The following is a 15,098-nucleotide window of genomic DNA, read 5'->3' as shown; positions in this document are numbered from 1 at the left end:
TTATCACAGATGGATCTATTGAGATGCTCACATGATTCTTTTCCTTTAAACAGATGATGTGGTAAATTCTATTAAGTGACTTTCTAATATAAAACCAACTTTGAAATTCTAGAGTAAACCCAACTTGGTTATGATGGGTTACTTTCTTACACATTATTGGTCAAGTACAGTAATTCCCCTTTATCAACAGGGCATACGTTTCAAGACCCCCTGAGGATGCCTGAAACCATGGATAGCATGGAAGCCCTATAAATACTATGTTTTTTTTTATTATCTGATGACCAAGACGGCTACCAATGGTAACTAATGGGCAGGTAGCATATACAGTGTGGATATGCTGGACAAAGGGAGGATCCACATCCTGGGCGTACAATTTAAAACATATGAATTTTTATTTCTTGAATTTTCCATTTAATATTTTCGGACTGTGATTGAGCATAGGTAACCACCTACAGATGGATAAGGGGGTACTACCATGTGATGATATCTAATCTATGAATTTTTGTACATAGGTCTGAGTTAAAGACAATCATCATTTTTTATACTTAGAGCTTCGTAAAAAAAAGTTGGGGACAGTCATTTCTTTTTCCAAACCATGAAATACTCTCTGTACAACTGGAATTATTGTTCCTTGAATGTTTTGTAGAATTTGCCAGTAAACCTGTCTAGAATTGGTATTTTTTTCTTTGTAAGAATATTTTTCCTTTTTGTTTTAAGGGTATTCCATTTTCTATTACTTCTTGGGCCAGCATGAGCTACATTTTTTTTTAGGAATTGGTCCACTTAATCTTTCAACTGCATTAAAATAAAGTTGATCATTCATGAAACACCTGTAGTAACATTCCCATTTTCATTCCAGATACTGCTTTATGACTTCTTTCCCCACCTATTAATCTTGCCAGTGGTTTGCTAATTTTGTTACTCTTCTCAAATAATCTATTTTTAGTTGCATTGTTTCCTTTTTGAATTACTTTTACTTTCTCTAGTTCATTAATTATTCCCCTGTTATTTCAATCGGGGAGTATGCTTTTTTTCTAATTCTTAAAATTGCATGTTTATTATTCCTCAACCTTTAGTCCCATAATATAAGCATTAAAATCTATAAATTCCCATTTTAGCTATACATAAGTTGTCGTGTACAATAATTTACTGCTATCATTACAAGTTTTTCTTTGATCCACAAGTTATTTTGAAATAAACATGTTAATTTCCAAAACACACACACACAAAATTTCTATTTAAGTTAATGGAATTGTAAACAGAAAGTGTAATGTGATGCCAATCCACTGAAATTTGTTAAAGCTGGCTGTATTTGACCAGAATGTGATCAGTTTTTCTAAGTGTTCCTCCTCTACTTTAGTTGTGGAATACAATGTTCCATACGTGTCCATTACAGCAGGCTTGTAAGTCCTGTTATTAAAATCATCTATATTTTTCTTAATTTTTTTCTGCTTGTTCTCACATTAACAGAGATTATTTTAAATAAGCTATAATAATGATAAATTTACCTATTTCTTCTGCAGTCCTAGTTTCTGCTTAATGTATTTTGAAAGTGTATTATCAGGTAGTCACTTATTTAAAATTATACCTTCCTTTTATAACTATTGAGTGACCCTCACTCTCTCGGACAGGTTTTCTGCCTCAAAGTCAACTTTACATGATATATATAGCCATACAACATTTCTATTGGTTAGTAGTGTCAGGAATATCTTTTTAAATCCTTTTTACTTTCAAGCGAGAATATGCTTTTTAAGGTATTGCTTGTAAACAGCATATAAATATATTTTGTTATTTTATCCCATCTAATAACCAGTTTCTGTTAAGTGGAGGATTTTTTCAACTCATATGCACTGTAATTACTAATATATTTGCACTTATTGCTGCTATGTACTTTTGTGCTACTTGTCTTCTCTTTTCCATGTTTTCTTTCTTCAGCTTCTTTACCTTTTTTTCAGATTGAATATTGTTTCTTGTTCTACTTCCCTTCTCTACTAGTTTGTAAGGTACACATACCTTCTAGATTTTTATTCCTTATCTTAGAAATTTTAACATGCGTTAAAACTTACCAAGCCTACCCGTAGCTAATCAATAATTTTACCCTCCTCCCAAGTTTTATATAATGTCTGTCTGAAACTAAACATATTTACCACTTCTTGTGTTCTTTATCCTTTTTACATTTCAGACCATCCATCTACAACTATTTTCCTTATCTGTGAGAATGTGGTGATCAGAAACTCAGAGAATGTAATGGTGGAAGTATGATCCAATACTGTTACTTGCACTGCTGACTTTACATTAAAGATATATAGCAATTCCCAGGCTCTATACAACTCAGGTGAAAATGAACAAGATGGGAGTGTTGCTGTGAAACCTTAAAATAGCTAACACCTTGCTTTCCTCTCCACATGCTTAATATACTGTCAAAGAATAGGCTGTGAAGATCTGCCTTACTGCTTTATACCATTTTTGAAATTAGTACAGTAAAACTCCTTTATCTATTAGCAAGAGGAAGATGATGTTCCCCACCAAAAAAGTCAGCTTAACTTGATAAAATTATATAGCATTTTATAACCATTCAGTTTCATTACTGTCACAGATAATACATAGGCAGGTTAAGCATGTAAACAAGGTATAGTAAAGTATAAACAAATACTAATGAAATGAGGTTAATTTTTAAAGTTTTGGTTAAAAAATACGCTATATAATAACATAGAACACAAAAGTCCCTGAATATACAAAGTAGATCACATGTGAAATGTTTAGAAAATTGATGCATAAATCAAGCACTAATTTTTACATGAGAATTATTAAACTTAAGAGGTTGAAACATGATAAAGGTATTTCCTCAGCAGCTGGTCTAAAAAAAGGCACTGGTTTTAATCTATCTTGTAGTATACAGCATAACCTCCAAAAAAACAGTGAACTGTTTCTATTCAAATAAAAACATATACCAGGCCTGAATTACAGCTATTCTGAATGAGAAACATTCAGGTAAATAAAGTTTTATTTTATTTATTAAATATCTATGACACAGAACTGATATCAAAGTACAATAACATGTTCACAAGGTGGAGCTCTATGCAGAACCATTAATAAATGCCAGAAATAATCTAGAAAATTAACTAGTAATAGTGAATGAAGAGTATTTTATGTCTTTGGAGAGCCATAATTGATAGAAGTAAAAACATTTTATTCCATAGGTTTGTAAATCCACAACACATTTGTTTGCACTGATTTACTGATTTGAGAAAAGGAAAAAAAAATATACAATTCCCCCTAACAGTGCAGGGACTAGAAATGCACAGCCAAACTTGGTGCACAGATACCAGCCACTATAACGTAAGGCTGCTTATGCTTCTAGTAGCGTAAGTCTTCTACTAATTTATGGTGGTGGTAGAAGTGGTAGTGGCAGCACCATTTCGAAGCAATTACTATGCAAATCTATTAGTATTATCAGAATAGATAAGCAAAAACTCAGGAAAGCAGGATACATCAGGTTTTACAACTTTTTTCACTTTTAGTAAAGCAAGCATATATATTCTTAAATTTTTAATCATATTAACACTGAGTATATAAAGAAACATAATATTATAAATTACTGTATATAAATGTAATCATGTCACTCTTTGCTTCAAGACCTGTGGTAATTTCCCATCATGTCCAAGATAAAATCTAAATTCAGGAAAGCAATATAAAGCATTTTTTCTTCATTTGCTTACTATCCAATTCTCCAGCCTCATCTCTAGCCATTCTTCCGCTCACCCTACAGTTTTACCAAACGTGACTTGAGTCCCACAATATGTGTGTGCATGTGTGTTATGCCTTTGCACATAATATTCCCCCTGTATGGAATATTATTTTCCACTAGGATATTTTACTAGGATAACCCACACACATACTTTAAGACTTGGTTTAAGCACCATCCCCTCTATGCATATAAGACAGAATATCACATCAGTTACCAAACTGTATTCTAAAGGTTTCTTTCCTCATTTTTCTTCCCTACCACACTATAATCTCCTTAGGGCAAGGTACTACATCTCTCATCTTCAGGGTCTCATTACCTTGCATACAATAATCCATCATATTCATCCCACAGATGAACAAACATAGGCCCAGATAAATGGAATTATTTTCTCAATTTCAGAGGCCAAATAATGGCAGATTCAATATTAGAATTTAACACTTCGGGCCAGGCGTGGTGGCTCACGCCTGTAATCCCAGCACTTTGGGAGGCTGAGGCAGGCAGATCACGATGTCAGGAGATGGAGACCATCCTGGCTAACACGGTGAAACCCCATCTCTACTAAAAATACAAAAAATTAGTCGGGCATGGTGGCACGCGCCTGTAATCCCAGCTACTCAGGAGGTTGAGGCAGGAGAATCACTTGAACCCAGGAGGCGGAGGTTGCAGTGAACCGAGATGCCACTGCATTCCAGCCTGGGCAACACAGCAAGACTCCGTCTCAAAAAAAAAAAAAAAAAAAAAAAAAAGAAAGAAAGAAAAAAGAAAAGAAAATGAAATTTAAGACTCCTTCCCAGTTCAATGCTTTTTCTATAAATGCACCTAAGGATACCAGCTCAGAAGGAATTATGCATTAATATACAGAACGTTCAAGACAGACACAGAGCTAAAAGGAGTATTAAAAAGCGAGATCTGTAAAAACAAAAATAAGGCACAGGTTACTTATAACGAATTTTCAAGGAATAGGAATAGGTGATAAAATAAAACAGAAAAGTTAAAAAACTATCTTAAAATAAGAATTACATAGGAATAAGTAACATCTATATTTTCTAAGAAATGAAAGAAATAAATATAATAAACCCATCTGTAATCAACTTATCAAAGTTAAAAGTAACTAAAAACTTTTTCTTTAGCTATAACAAAGTGAGGAGGTAAAATATGTAGCCAAAAATCAGTAAGATCAAGCATTTATCTCAAGGAGAAAACTACATCCCTTAAAAACTCAAGATAAATGTTAGGTTTAAACAAACTCCCCATCTAAAGATAAAAGCTACGGAACATGAAAATGAATTGGTATAGTGCTAAATTCCTTAAAACCTTGTAGGAAATAAGAAACCTTGAAGACAACACTCGCATTCCCCTAACTAGGGCCACTCTCCTTAGGCATCTTTCTCTGAAACTGTATCCTCAATAAAGTATATTTCAGTGAATTAAAATGTGTCAAGGACATGAAGAACCTTGAAAACCCCAACTAGGCACAATGTACTCACTCTCAGTTAAAAATGTTCAAAACCAGGGAAGTAGGACTTGTGTTCCTCTATAATCCTGAGCTTTGGGTATTAGTTGGGCCCTGAGAAACATTTTTAAAAATTTCAAATAAAAATTCTTATGCCAAATTCTGGTGAGTTAAGACCAAACATTAACCTGAAATGGATTACAGACCTAAATGGTAAAGCTATAAGCTTCTAAAAATACATGGGAGAAATCCTGAAGATCTGGAATAGGCAAAGATTTCTCAGAAAGGACACAAAGCTTAAATGAATAAAATTATGAATTAAACTCCATCAAAATTTAAAGCTTTGGCACTTCAATGGTACCATTAAGAAAACTGATAAGCCAACAGAAAGAGAGAAATATCTTTAATACTTGTATCCAACAAAAAATTTTGGTCCAGAATATACAAAGAACTCTTACAACTGAATAATAAAAAGACAAACAATCCAATTAAAAATGGACAAATTATTTGAACAGACAGTTCACAAAGGAAAATATACAAGTGGCCAATACATACACCAAAAGATCTTCAAACATCATTAGTCACCGGTGAAATCCAATCAAAACCAAAATGATACTACCACTCATCTACTAGAATGGTTAAAATTAAAAACATGGACAATTGTTTGCAAGGATGTGGAACAACCAGAACTCTCATACATGGCTGGTGGAAATGTAAAAATGTTTGTTACAAGCAGTTTGCAATTTTGCAGCTTCTTACCAAGTTAAACATATACTTACTATATGTACTTAGAAGTACAGTTACCTGTACTATAACTGTACTCTTAAGTATTGACTCAAGAAAAATGTAAGATATATATGCATATAAATTTTATGTAAATGTTCACAGTAGCTTTATTCATTAGAGCAAAGAACCAGAAACAACCCAAGTTAATAGTTCCACTGCAGGTGAATGGCGACACAAATTGTGTATTTGGTGATATAACATTCATACAATGGAATACTACTCAGCAATACAAAAGGAATGAGCTACTGATACTTATTAATTTTGATAATATCCTGTGCAAAAGAAGGTGCACAGAAAGGACATACTGCATGATTCGGTTTATATGAAACTCTAGAAACATTAAATCTAACCTCTAGTGACCAAAAGCAGATCATTGCTAGGGGGCAATAGGTGGGGAAGATTGGCTGAGATTAAGTACACAAGAACTCTTTAGGATGATGGAAATAATGTTCTATTACATCTTGACTGTGGTAGCAGTTACACATGTATGCAAGTATGTCAAAACTCTATCAAAATGTACATGCATAGTGGTATATCTTATTGTATATAAATTATACCTCAATTAAGTTCACACGCACACACACACACACACACCAGGGTATGGTTTTAACTTTTGGCTTAGAATAGTCCTGATCTATACCATAGGAACACAGTAAGACAGCCATCTTCTTAAATACATTCCCAGCCAAATGGATATATGAGAAGGTGCAGACTCCATGTTGCTTAGACTATTCAAATATAGAATGCACAGCTTTTATTCCTTGGACTTGAGTTCTTTGATTTATGTAACAGAATAACAATGGGACATTATCCTTGAAGTTCATGTCAATGTTATACATAAAAGTGATATGGTAAGGTCTCTCTCATATAATGGCCCTTAAAAAGATCCAAGGAATCCTTCCTAAAGCTGAAAGACATACCAAAAGTAGCATTAAGATGAAGCTTCAGTGTCTATTGATCATTTAACAGCTTTGTCCAAGGTCTGAACTAAGCAATGTTAAATGTCAAAGTTACACAAACAATGTACAAATTTTACAGCAACCCCCTTTCAGATGGTAGTTACATTAGCTGGAGTTAATACTGGTCAAAAGGATAAAAAATTGTCAGCTGATCCAAGATATATTTAAAATAAATAAGTAAAATTTTAAATGAACATGTGTTGAAAACTTAAAACATGTATTAGGCACAATGCGTCATATGCTTCATTTAAACTTTCCCAATTCTTAGACTGTCATGTCCAATTTACATGCAGAGAAACTCAAGCATAAAAAGACTAAGTAACCCGGCCAGGGTGATAGGTAGTAAGTTACAGGATCAACCCAAACTCTTAACTGCTATACTTGTTCCTCTTAAGAAAGGGTGTATTCAAAAGGTGAACTCCTGATGCATTAGACATATAAATACAAAAAATACAACTAAGAAACTAATAGAAGAAAATCCAGGAAAATATCTTTATAATCTATAGATTAGGAAGGACTTCTTACTACCCATAAAGTCAAAATTTTGACATTAAAATTAAGGATTCCTGTACCAAAGTCAAATGACTGAAACGTTGGGGATTATCATCTTAAATACACAAGAGAAATGGAAATCTATCCAAAAAGAGGGGTAAAGGGTATGAATAGGCCAGATATGGAAAGGGAAACCCAAACAGCTAGCAAGGATATGAAGAAATGATCAACCTCCCTAATAAACAGAGAAACATAAATTAAAGCAACTATCAGATTATATTTAGCAACTGAAAAATTAGCAAAATGTAGAATGTTGTACAATACCGAAGGCTGGCAAAAACGTGAGAAAATAGTTCTTTTACATTGTTGGTGAGCGTAAAAAATGGTGTTGCTGTTTTTAAAATAATCTGACAGAATTTAGTAATTATTAAATATGTGATTGACCTATACTCAGCAATACTATGTCTGGACAATACCATGTCCCTAGATATGGTAGTGCTGAGAAACTCTTCCACAGCCATTAGCAACACGTAGGAGGATGTTTATTACAGAATTATTGGTATCTAAGAATTGGAGTCAATCTGGGAATCTGCCATTAGGGGAATTGATAGGTAATTTGTGCTTACTACATAAATGAACTACTGCAAGGTTAAAAGCAATGAACTAGCTGTACATATAGCAACATATCTAGCTATCAAACAATGCTAAGTAAAGAAAGTAAATTATATGTCAGGTGCAGTGGCTCACACCTGTAATCCCAGCACTTTGGGAGGCTGAGGCAGGTGGATCAGCTGAGGTCAGGAGTTTGAGACCAGCCTGGCTAACATGGCAAAACCCCATCTTTACTAAAAATACAAAAATCAGCCAGGCATGGCGGTGTGTGCCTGTAATCCCAGCTACTTGGGAGGCTGAAGCGGGAGAATCACTTGAACCTGGGAGACAGAGGTTGCAGTGAGCTGATATCGCGCCTTTACACTCCAGCCTGGGTGACAAGAGTCAAACTGTCAAACTGTCTCAAAAAAAAAAAAAAAAAAAAAAGAAAAGAAAAGAAAAAGAAAGTAAATGATAGAGCAAAGTAGCACTTATAGCACTTATGTAAATACAAAACACACAAAAGAGGTACAAAATTTTACAAGGCTAGCTACAAAACCAACAGCATATAAAAAACATATTAGATTGGGTCCAAGGTAGGAAGGATAGAGTGAATGGGAGCTGAAATTGGGAATAGTGACCAAAAGTATAATCCAAATGAGAGGATGCCTCTAAATAATACTAATGCTCTGCATCTGAAATATTTTAAGTGATATAACTACATCAACTACTAAATTTGACAGATGTATGCATATGTATTAGAACTTGCCTTTGAGATGATGAAGCATTCTACACATTTTGGTTTTAAGTATAATAAATTTGAAAATTCATGGTATCTAGTTCTTGCTTGTTACCGTCTTAGATAAATATGCTCAAATGACCTAATGAAAAGAATACCGAACTAGGAACCCAAAAAGCTGTGACCTAGTCCAAGCTAACTAGTAACATAAACTTGGCAAAGTCATCTTATCTCTTTGACTGTCTGCTTTACTGCAAAATGGCTTTGGATGATTCTCCCAAATCTCTCCAGTCCAAAATTATTCCACTTCATTTTCTTAATGAATATTTATTCATATAAAGTTATTTTTTGTCTACTCCAATTCCTCCTTCCTTTACTTTCTCCCTCCCAAATAAAGCAAAAGCCAAGTGTATCAAAAGAGATTCAGAAAAGTGATGTAGCAATAGGAGCAAATAGCAACTTAACTTTAGGGTAGAAAGGAGAAAACGTTAAAGAGATACAGTGATTTTGACAGCCTTTTCAAGTATTCAAGGCAGAGCAAGGTTACCCTGAGCCCAGGTTCAGAAAATCTACTCCTTGAAGGATTTCACTACATGTTATTCCATATGTCACTGTATCTGCCTGGCATTACCCCTTCTTAAAACACACATTAAAGTCTCTTCTAGAGTTTCTACTTAAAGACCCTAAATTTCAGCTTATCTGTGTCAGTTTTCAGATAAAAAGTTATTTTGGAAAAGATGAATCTTCCATATTAAAAATATATGATTCCAAGAAAATGAGTTTTTTTCATCAGCAAACTAGTTACACTCAGCACTATCTACTTAAAAAAAAAAAAAAAAACCCAAAACCAAACACTCTGCTAGAATTGTGGATTAAATGAATACAAAGACCTTAAGAGTAAGGGAAATCAGAATATATTTTAGGCCGTGAGCATGAATAGTAACAGATATATAAATAATGGTGTCATATTTTATTAAAAGATAATTGAAATCAGAGTACTTAAAATATCTTAAACATTTAAAATTAGAATATTTTAAAAAGAGAAAACAGAGGACTTTCAATATAGAATAAAACAATAAAAAGAAATTAACATAATTTATAAATTTATCTTCCATTCACATTTAATTTTAAATCTGAATGGGGGAGGGGAAGGGAGAGGGAGGGAATTAAGAGATCACAAAACATCTGTTATGAATAATTTCAGCACAGATGTAGTTGTTACTGCAAAAGAGATGAAGGTTTTCCCAGGTTGCCATACTGTAAGGTTTTCTACAAACATAGTTCATACCTCAACCTCCATGTACCAAGTCTCAATAAATACATAATGTTGATTAGGAGGAGAAATGTGCATATGGACAGATAAATGCAATCCCTATGTATAGAGGGAACGTGTATTAAACAACAGGGAGCTGTTTGAAGAAAGAGAAAAGTAACTTTGTAGAGAATGAAAAAAGCTTAAAGTTTCACAGCTATAATACAAATAGACACTTGAATTCAATTTTTTGCTTTTCCTTTCATAATCTTTCCATTTATCTACATCCATATTATATAATCCAAAAATATGCTTTAACAAAATTAATGAAGTTCTAAAAATTAAGTTGTTTTCTCTGAAAACAATCATAAAGCAAATTTTACTTATTAGAGAGCATTTTGCTACTTAAGTACTGTATTATATTGCCATCTTTTTAAGCAACCCAGTTTTAAGTTAACAGCGTAACCCACCTCCATCAAGGCTAAAATCCAGACATGCTCATAACATATTGAAATTTTTATTTAGTAAAACTAATGTCCTAAAGATGTTTCCTTTAGTGACATAATACTCAAAACACTGCCCCATGCAAAAGAATGATTAGTTTATATGGCAATGCCTACATAATAGATCAAATTTAATTTTAACTAGGGTTGCTACAAAACTTTCTCTACTACATATATTTCTACTTGCTTACTACTTTTAGTTCATATCTAGTTGAATGATTATTTAGCCAGTAATATGTACAACATCTACCCTTTAAAAAGTAGTTTAAAAAATCATTTTATCATATTTCCTAATCAGGACACTTTTTCTAGTTTAAAATTTTTTGAGTTTTCTTTCAACAATGGACTTTTATTTTAGCTTATATCTCAATTAGAAATAAAGAGCATGCATTTCCACATAAATTAGTGACTGTACTGCAAAGAAACCTTTTTCAATCCTATTTCTACAGCTTCAAGTTTTCTAACCTCTCGCTGTACTCTTGCACACTAATGCATATCTTCTTCCAACATCTGCATGATTTTTCTCCTCCTCTGCTGCAATTCAATACAGGTAGTTAAGAGTAGCTAACAATATAATTCCACATGATACTGCATCTGTGTTTACATCTGGCTCTAACCACATGCTTAAAAGTGATTTATACAGGTAAATCCACAAGAGGATAAAGCAAAAGAAAAACACAACTATGAGAAATCATTATGCTCTTATTTTAAAAATATCATTCTCAATTTAACAGAAGTTTCTCAGCACATGCTTCAAAAGCTACTACATAGGAGGTATGCCATTTCAAACATACTAGAGACTAGAGAAAGGAAGAAAACAGTATTAAACAAATATTTCACATGCTTTTTATATCAGGGTCATCTTCATAAACGATTAATATTTTCAATTTATAAGATACTTTAAGTTTTGCTCCATGCTACAATGTATCTCGTGACTTTGTGGCAAAGTTTCTGAGTTCATAAACATTTAAGTGAATCACACCTATTCACTACTGAGCCCTCAGGAATTAGAATACTAAATTCAAGAAATACCTGTCAGGAAATGAAAAACTATTTACACACACACACACACACACACACACACACACGAAGAACCATGACATCCTAAAATAAGAAATTAACACAGGCTTACCTGGCAATTCAATACCTACTTAGTTCAAGATAAACAGTATGGCTATTCCATTACGGTACTGATATTGATGCATTTATAAAAACACCACTAAAAATAATTAAGGAAATAAATACTTCTAATGTTCTACCTAATGAGAGGCTTAAAATTTACAGTTATATTAATATACCTATAAGAACACAAAATGAAAAGACATAACTAAATACAGTCTCATGCAATTATTTATATGCAATTTATATAGTTTCTTGAAAGGAATTATTTAAATACAAGCATACAGCAACGTACGAACTACAGAGTTTTACTGCATATAAGATCTCAAAGCAAACTTATATTCCTTAATTACAACTGACAAATTTAAAACGTATGCACTCACTGATTCTTAACTAAAAAGGTGGGGGAGGGCTACCAGTAGGAAAAGACCTGAAGGGGAAGGAAAAGATAAAATCTAAAAATCACTAACATCTAAGTGACTGCTAGTTACCACCTCCGTTAGTAGCTCTCTGCCAACCCATCCATAGTCTAAGTCTACATAAGTTATATAAAAATAATTACACAGTATTATCAATCAATTGTAATTTTCCTTGCTACTCTTAAACTTTGACCATTTTAGATGTATTTTAACATCTAAAATATATATTTTAAGGGATCTTACTATGAATTTTAAAAAGGGGTGATTAAAAAGTATTCTAAATATGCAACATAAATATGGGTCAATTATTACATATTCTTCTCCAAACCTAAGAACATAAAACAAAATCTTTTTAAAATAAGGAGTAATACAACTGCTCTAAAACAAGAATGAATTAACAGCAATCTCAATTAGAGACTTAAATAACTCAAATTTATAAAATTATTCAAGTTAAAACAGTCCTGCTTCTTTCTAGTTTCGGCAAACTAGAAAATGCTTATGCCTAATTTAACCAAGGCTAGTTTTAAGTAACAATAAGACTCAGAATTATACTGAAGGTCCCAATCAGCACAGTCGATAGAGAGACTTATGATGCTACCACACCAATAATCATTTTTGTTAGCATCCTCTACTGGTGGTTTCCAATGACAGCAAGGGGAAATGGTGCTGATGACAGAAGGATATGTACCTTCTATTCCATCTAAAGAGAATTAATCAGCATGTGGTCATTAGTAGAGTACATCTCTCTCTCAAAAAAAAAAAAGGTAGAACAAGAAGAAAACCACATAGAAGAAAGCAGAAAAAGAAAAAGACAGATTTTTTAAAATGCAACAAAGCATGAAATTATAAATGGTAAAAACTAATTCAAGCAATTCTAATGTCACTCCTTTACGGATGACTAACATCATTAAGTTACCACACAAGGTTTGATGCTTTGGCCAAACCTTACTCAATTGGTTTACCCCTGTCAGTTACATTACCTGATACTCCTTTTAATATCCTACCTTCAGACATATTCCAGAAAGGAAATTAAAATATTTTACAGAAGGCTTAGCAGCAAAATCCACGTATCTTATTTCAAAATGAATAAAACATTATTTACATATATAACAACATAAACTATCTCTACGACAATCTTCCACTGTATATATCACATATTTCTTCATTAAAAAGATTTGAGAGTTAACGTTTTGCCAGGCAATTTTCTCCAATAAACATCTGCAACTTAAATATGACTGCACTGCTAAGAAATATTAACCAGCACATATACTGAGGTTTCACAACACAATGGAATATAACTTCATTTTTAATTTGCAAAATATAAGGCTAAATCAAATAGCATGGCTATAATCACCAGCAATGGATGAAATGCATTTGAGAACAAAAAGAAATACAAGGACAGAGCCAAAAGTGATGAAAATGGAAGATACCTGTAGTAGTACAGTGCTATCTTAAACACCTTTTGTTTTCTGAGAGTAATGCATACTGCAGACAAGACGTTTTGTGCTAAACAGACGCAAATCTGTTTTTCTAATATTAAACACAAAGGAAAAACACTGACAGCAAGCGTGGTAAATAAATCCCTCCCTTGAGAATGAAAGCAGCAGACAGGAGGGGGCTGACATACATGCAGGAGAAAACTAAACACCATCTTTTTTTCTACCTGCACAAGTTGCCATTTGCTGCAGCGATCAAGAACCTCTCTTTCCTGTTGATTTCAAGTATCTTTCAGGATCGCTTTTCCCCCCTTAAGTCATCTGTTGATATGCCTTACGAGTGTAATATTCATATCACAGGATCTCAAGGAGAAAAATCCATTCTTTCCTGTTCAGGTAAACATGTTTACAGCAGCTGCACAGACGCTGGGTGGTTCAGACTCACATGTCACACACATGTCGTCAGCAACAAGAAAAGCCCCTTTCTCTGGCGATCAACATTTTAAATAAGGTAAAAAGCGAACAGCTCTTTCCGAACCAACTTACCTTTCATAAAGCCACATCAGCAACAGCGGCAACAGCTCAATATGGAACACACACTATTTGACGCTAAAACAGGAAATTAAAATTGCAATAGCCTATGCTCCACTCCTTGCTATAACAAGTCATCTCTCCACAATGAGAATACCAAAATACCTTTCGTTTATAATCAACAGACGTCTTTAAAATGCAAGTGTTTATTTGAATAATTAAAATCACGAAAGCAGTGATTTTAATGATGGCTCGAATATATTAAAAATATAATTATGGATTGGAAGGAAACATCTTGAAACAGCTTAAAAATCTTCGTATCTGCTTCTAGACAGGAAATCCCACACAAAATCTAAAATTGCCAGGAAAGGTTACAAAACCTCGCGTTTCGCATCCCAGAGGGGAGGGAGAAAGGGAGCCCAGGCGCGGGGGGTGGGGCTGGGGGAGCACGAGAGAGTTTTCTCCTAAACACGTATTTCCTCGTTTTCTCGACGCTGCAGCGGTCCCATTATAGACGCATTTATTGCCCCTCTCTTAAAAGTCGTTTTAAAAATAACGCAGGAACCAAAGCGAGCCCCTCGGTCCGAAATGTACGTGTAATTCCTTATATAGCCTGGGCTGCGGCCGGCGGCAGGGCCGTTGCCGCCCATTATTATACAAACAGGTACCGGGGCGGCGCAGGCGGGGGCTGCTCTCCCTGCGCTCCCGCCGCCCCCGGGCGGACAAGTCTCGCCCCTCTCGCCACAGGAACTGTCCAGACAATAACAATCAGCAGACATTTCGCTGCTGCACGAGAGGGAGAGAAAGCATAGCATCGCCCCGAGATAACCAGAAATACAATCAACTTACAACGTCTCTCCAAACTGGAAAAGGCGACTGTGCAACCACCACCACATGTTCAGGTCTCGATCCCTCGGGCTGTCTCTCTTTTTTTTTAACTCTCACGCCAGGCAGAGGGGTGTGTGTTTCCCTTGGCACAGCAGCACAAATCAATAAACACTGCAGCTGCGGTGCAAGTAGCAGCCCCGCGCGTCCGTCGGTCCGTCCGCCCCCTCCCCCACCCTCCTTCC

At 34.4% G+C, this 15,098-nt stretch overlaps 1 protein-coding gene across 53 annotated transcripts in view; it reads right to left on the bottom strand.

Moving 5' to 3' along the window:
- ZEB1 (zinc finger E-box binding homeobox 1) overlaps positions 1 to 15,098 on the bottom strand; it is a 211,388-nt gene that overhangs the window by 194,229 nt on the left and 2,061 nt on the right. For 8 of the 53 annotated variants that reach the window (NM_001323663.2, NM_001323662.2, NM_001323664.2 and 5 more), the window contains exon 1: positions 14,044 to 14,375. The exons of 32 other annotated variants lie outside the window; for them this stretch is intronic. Coding sequence is in view for 6 of the 21 variants with exons in the window: in NM_001128128.3 (NP_001121600.1) it covers positions 14,044 to 14,050 (7 nt within the window). In the remaining 15 variants the exon portion in view is untranslated. Of the gene's footprint in view, positions 1 to 13,724; positions 13,917 to 14,043; positions 14,376 to 14,877; positions 15,023 to 15,098 lie in introns of those variants that run through there. 13 more of the 53 variants (XM_047425686.1, XM_047425690.1, XM_047425692.1 and 10 more) reach the window with 3 other exon arrangements.

This window comes from Homo sapiens, chromosome 10 (assembly GCF_000001405.40).
Source record: "Homo sapiens chromosome 10, GRCh38.p14 Primary Assembly".
Taxonomy (NCBI): domain Eukaryota; kingdom Metazoa; phylum Chordata; class Mammalia; order Primates; family Hominidae; genus Homo; species Homo sapiens.
Note: the sequence above shows the minus strand (reverse complement) of the source record. Positions and strands in the feature narration are given on the sequence as shown.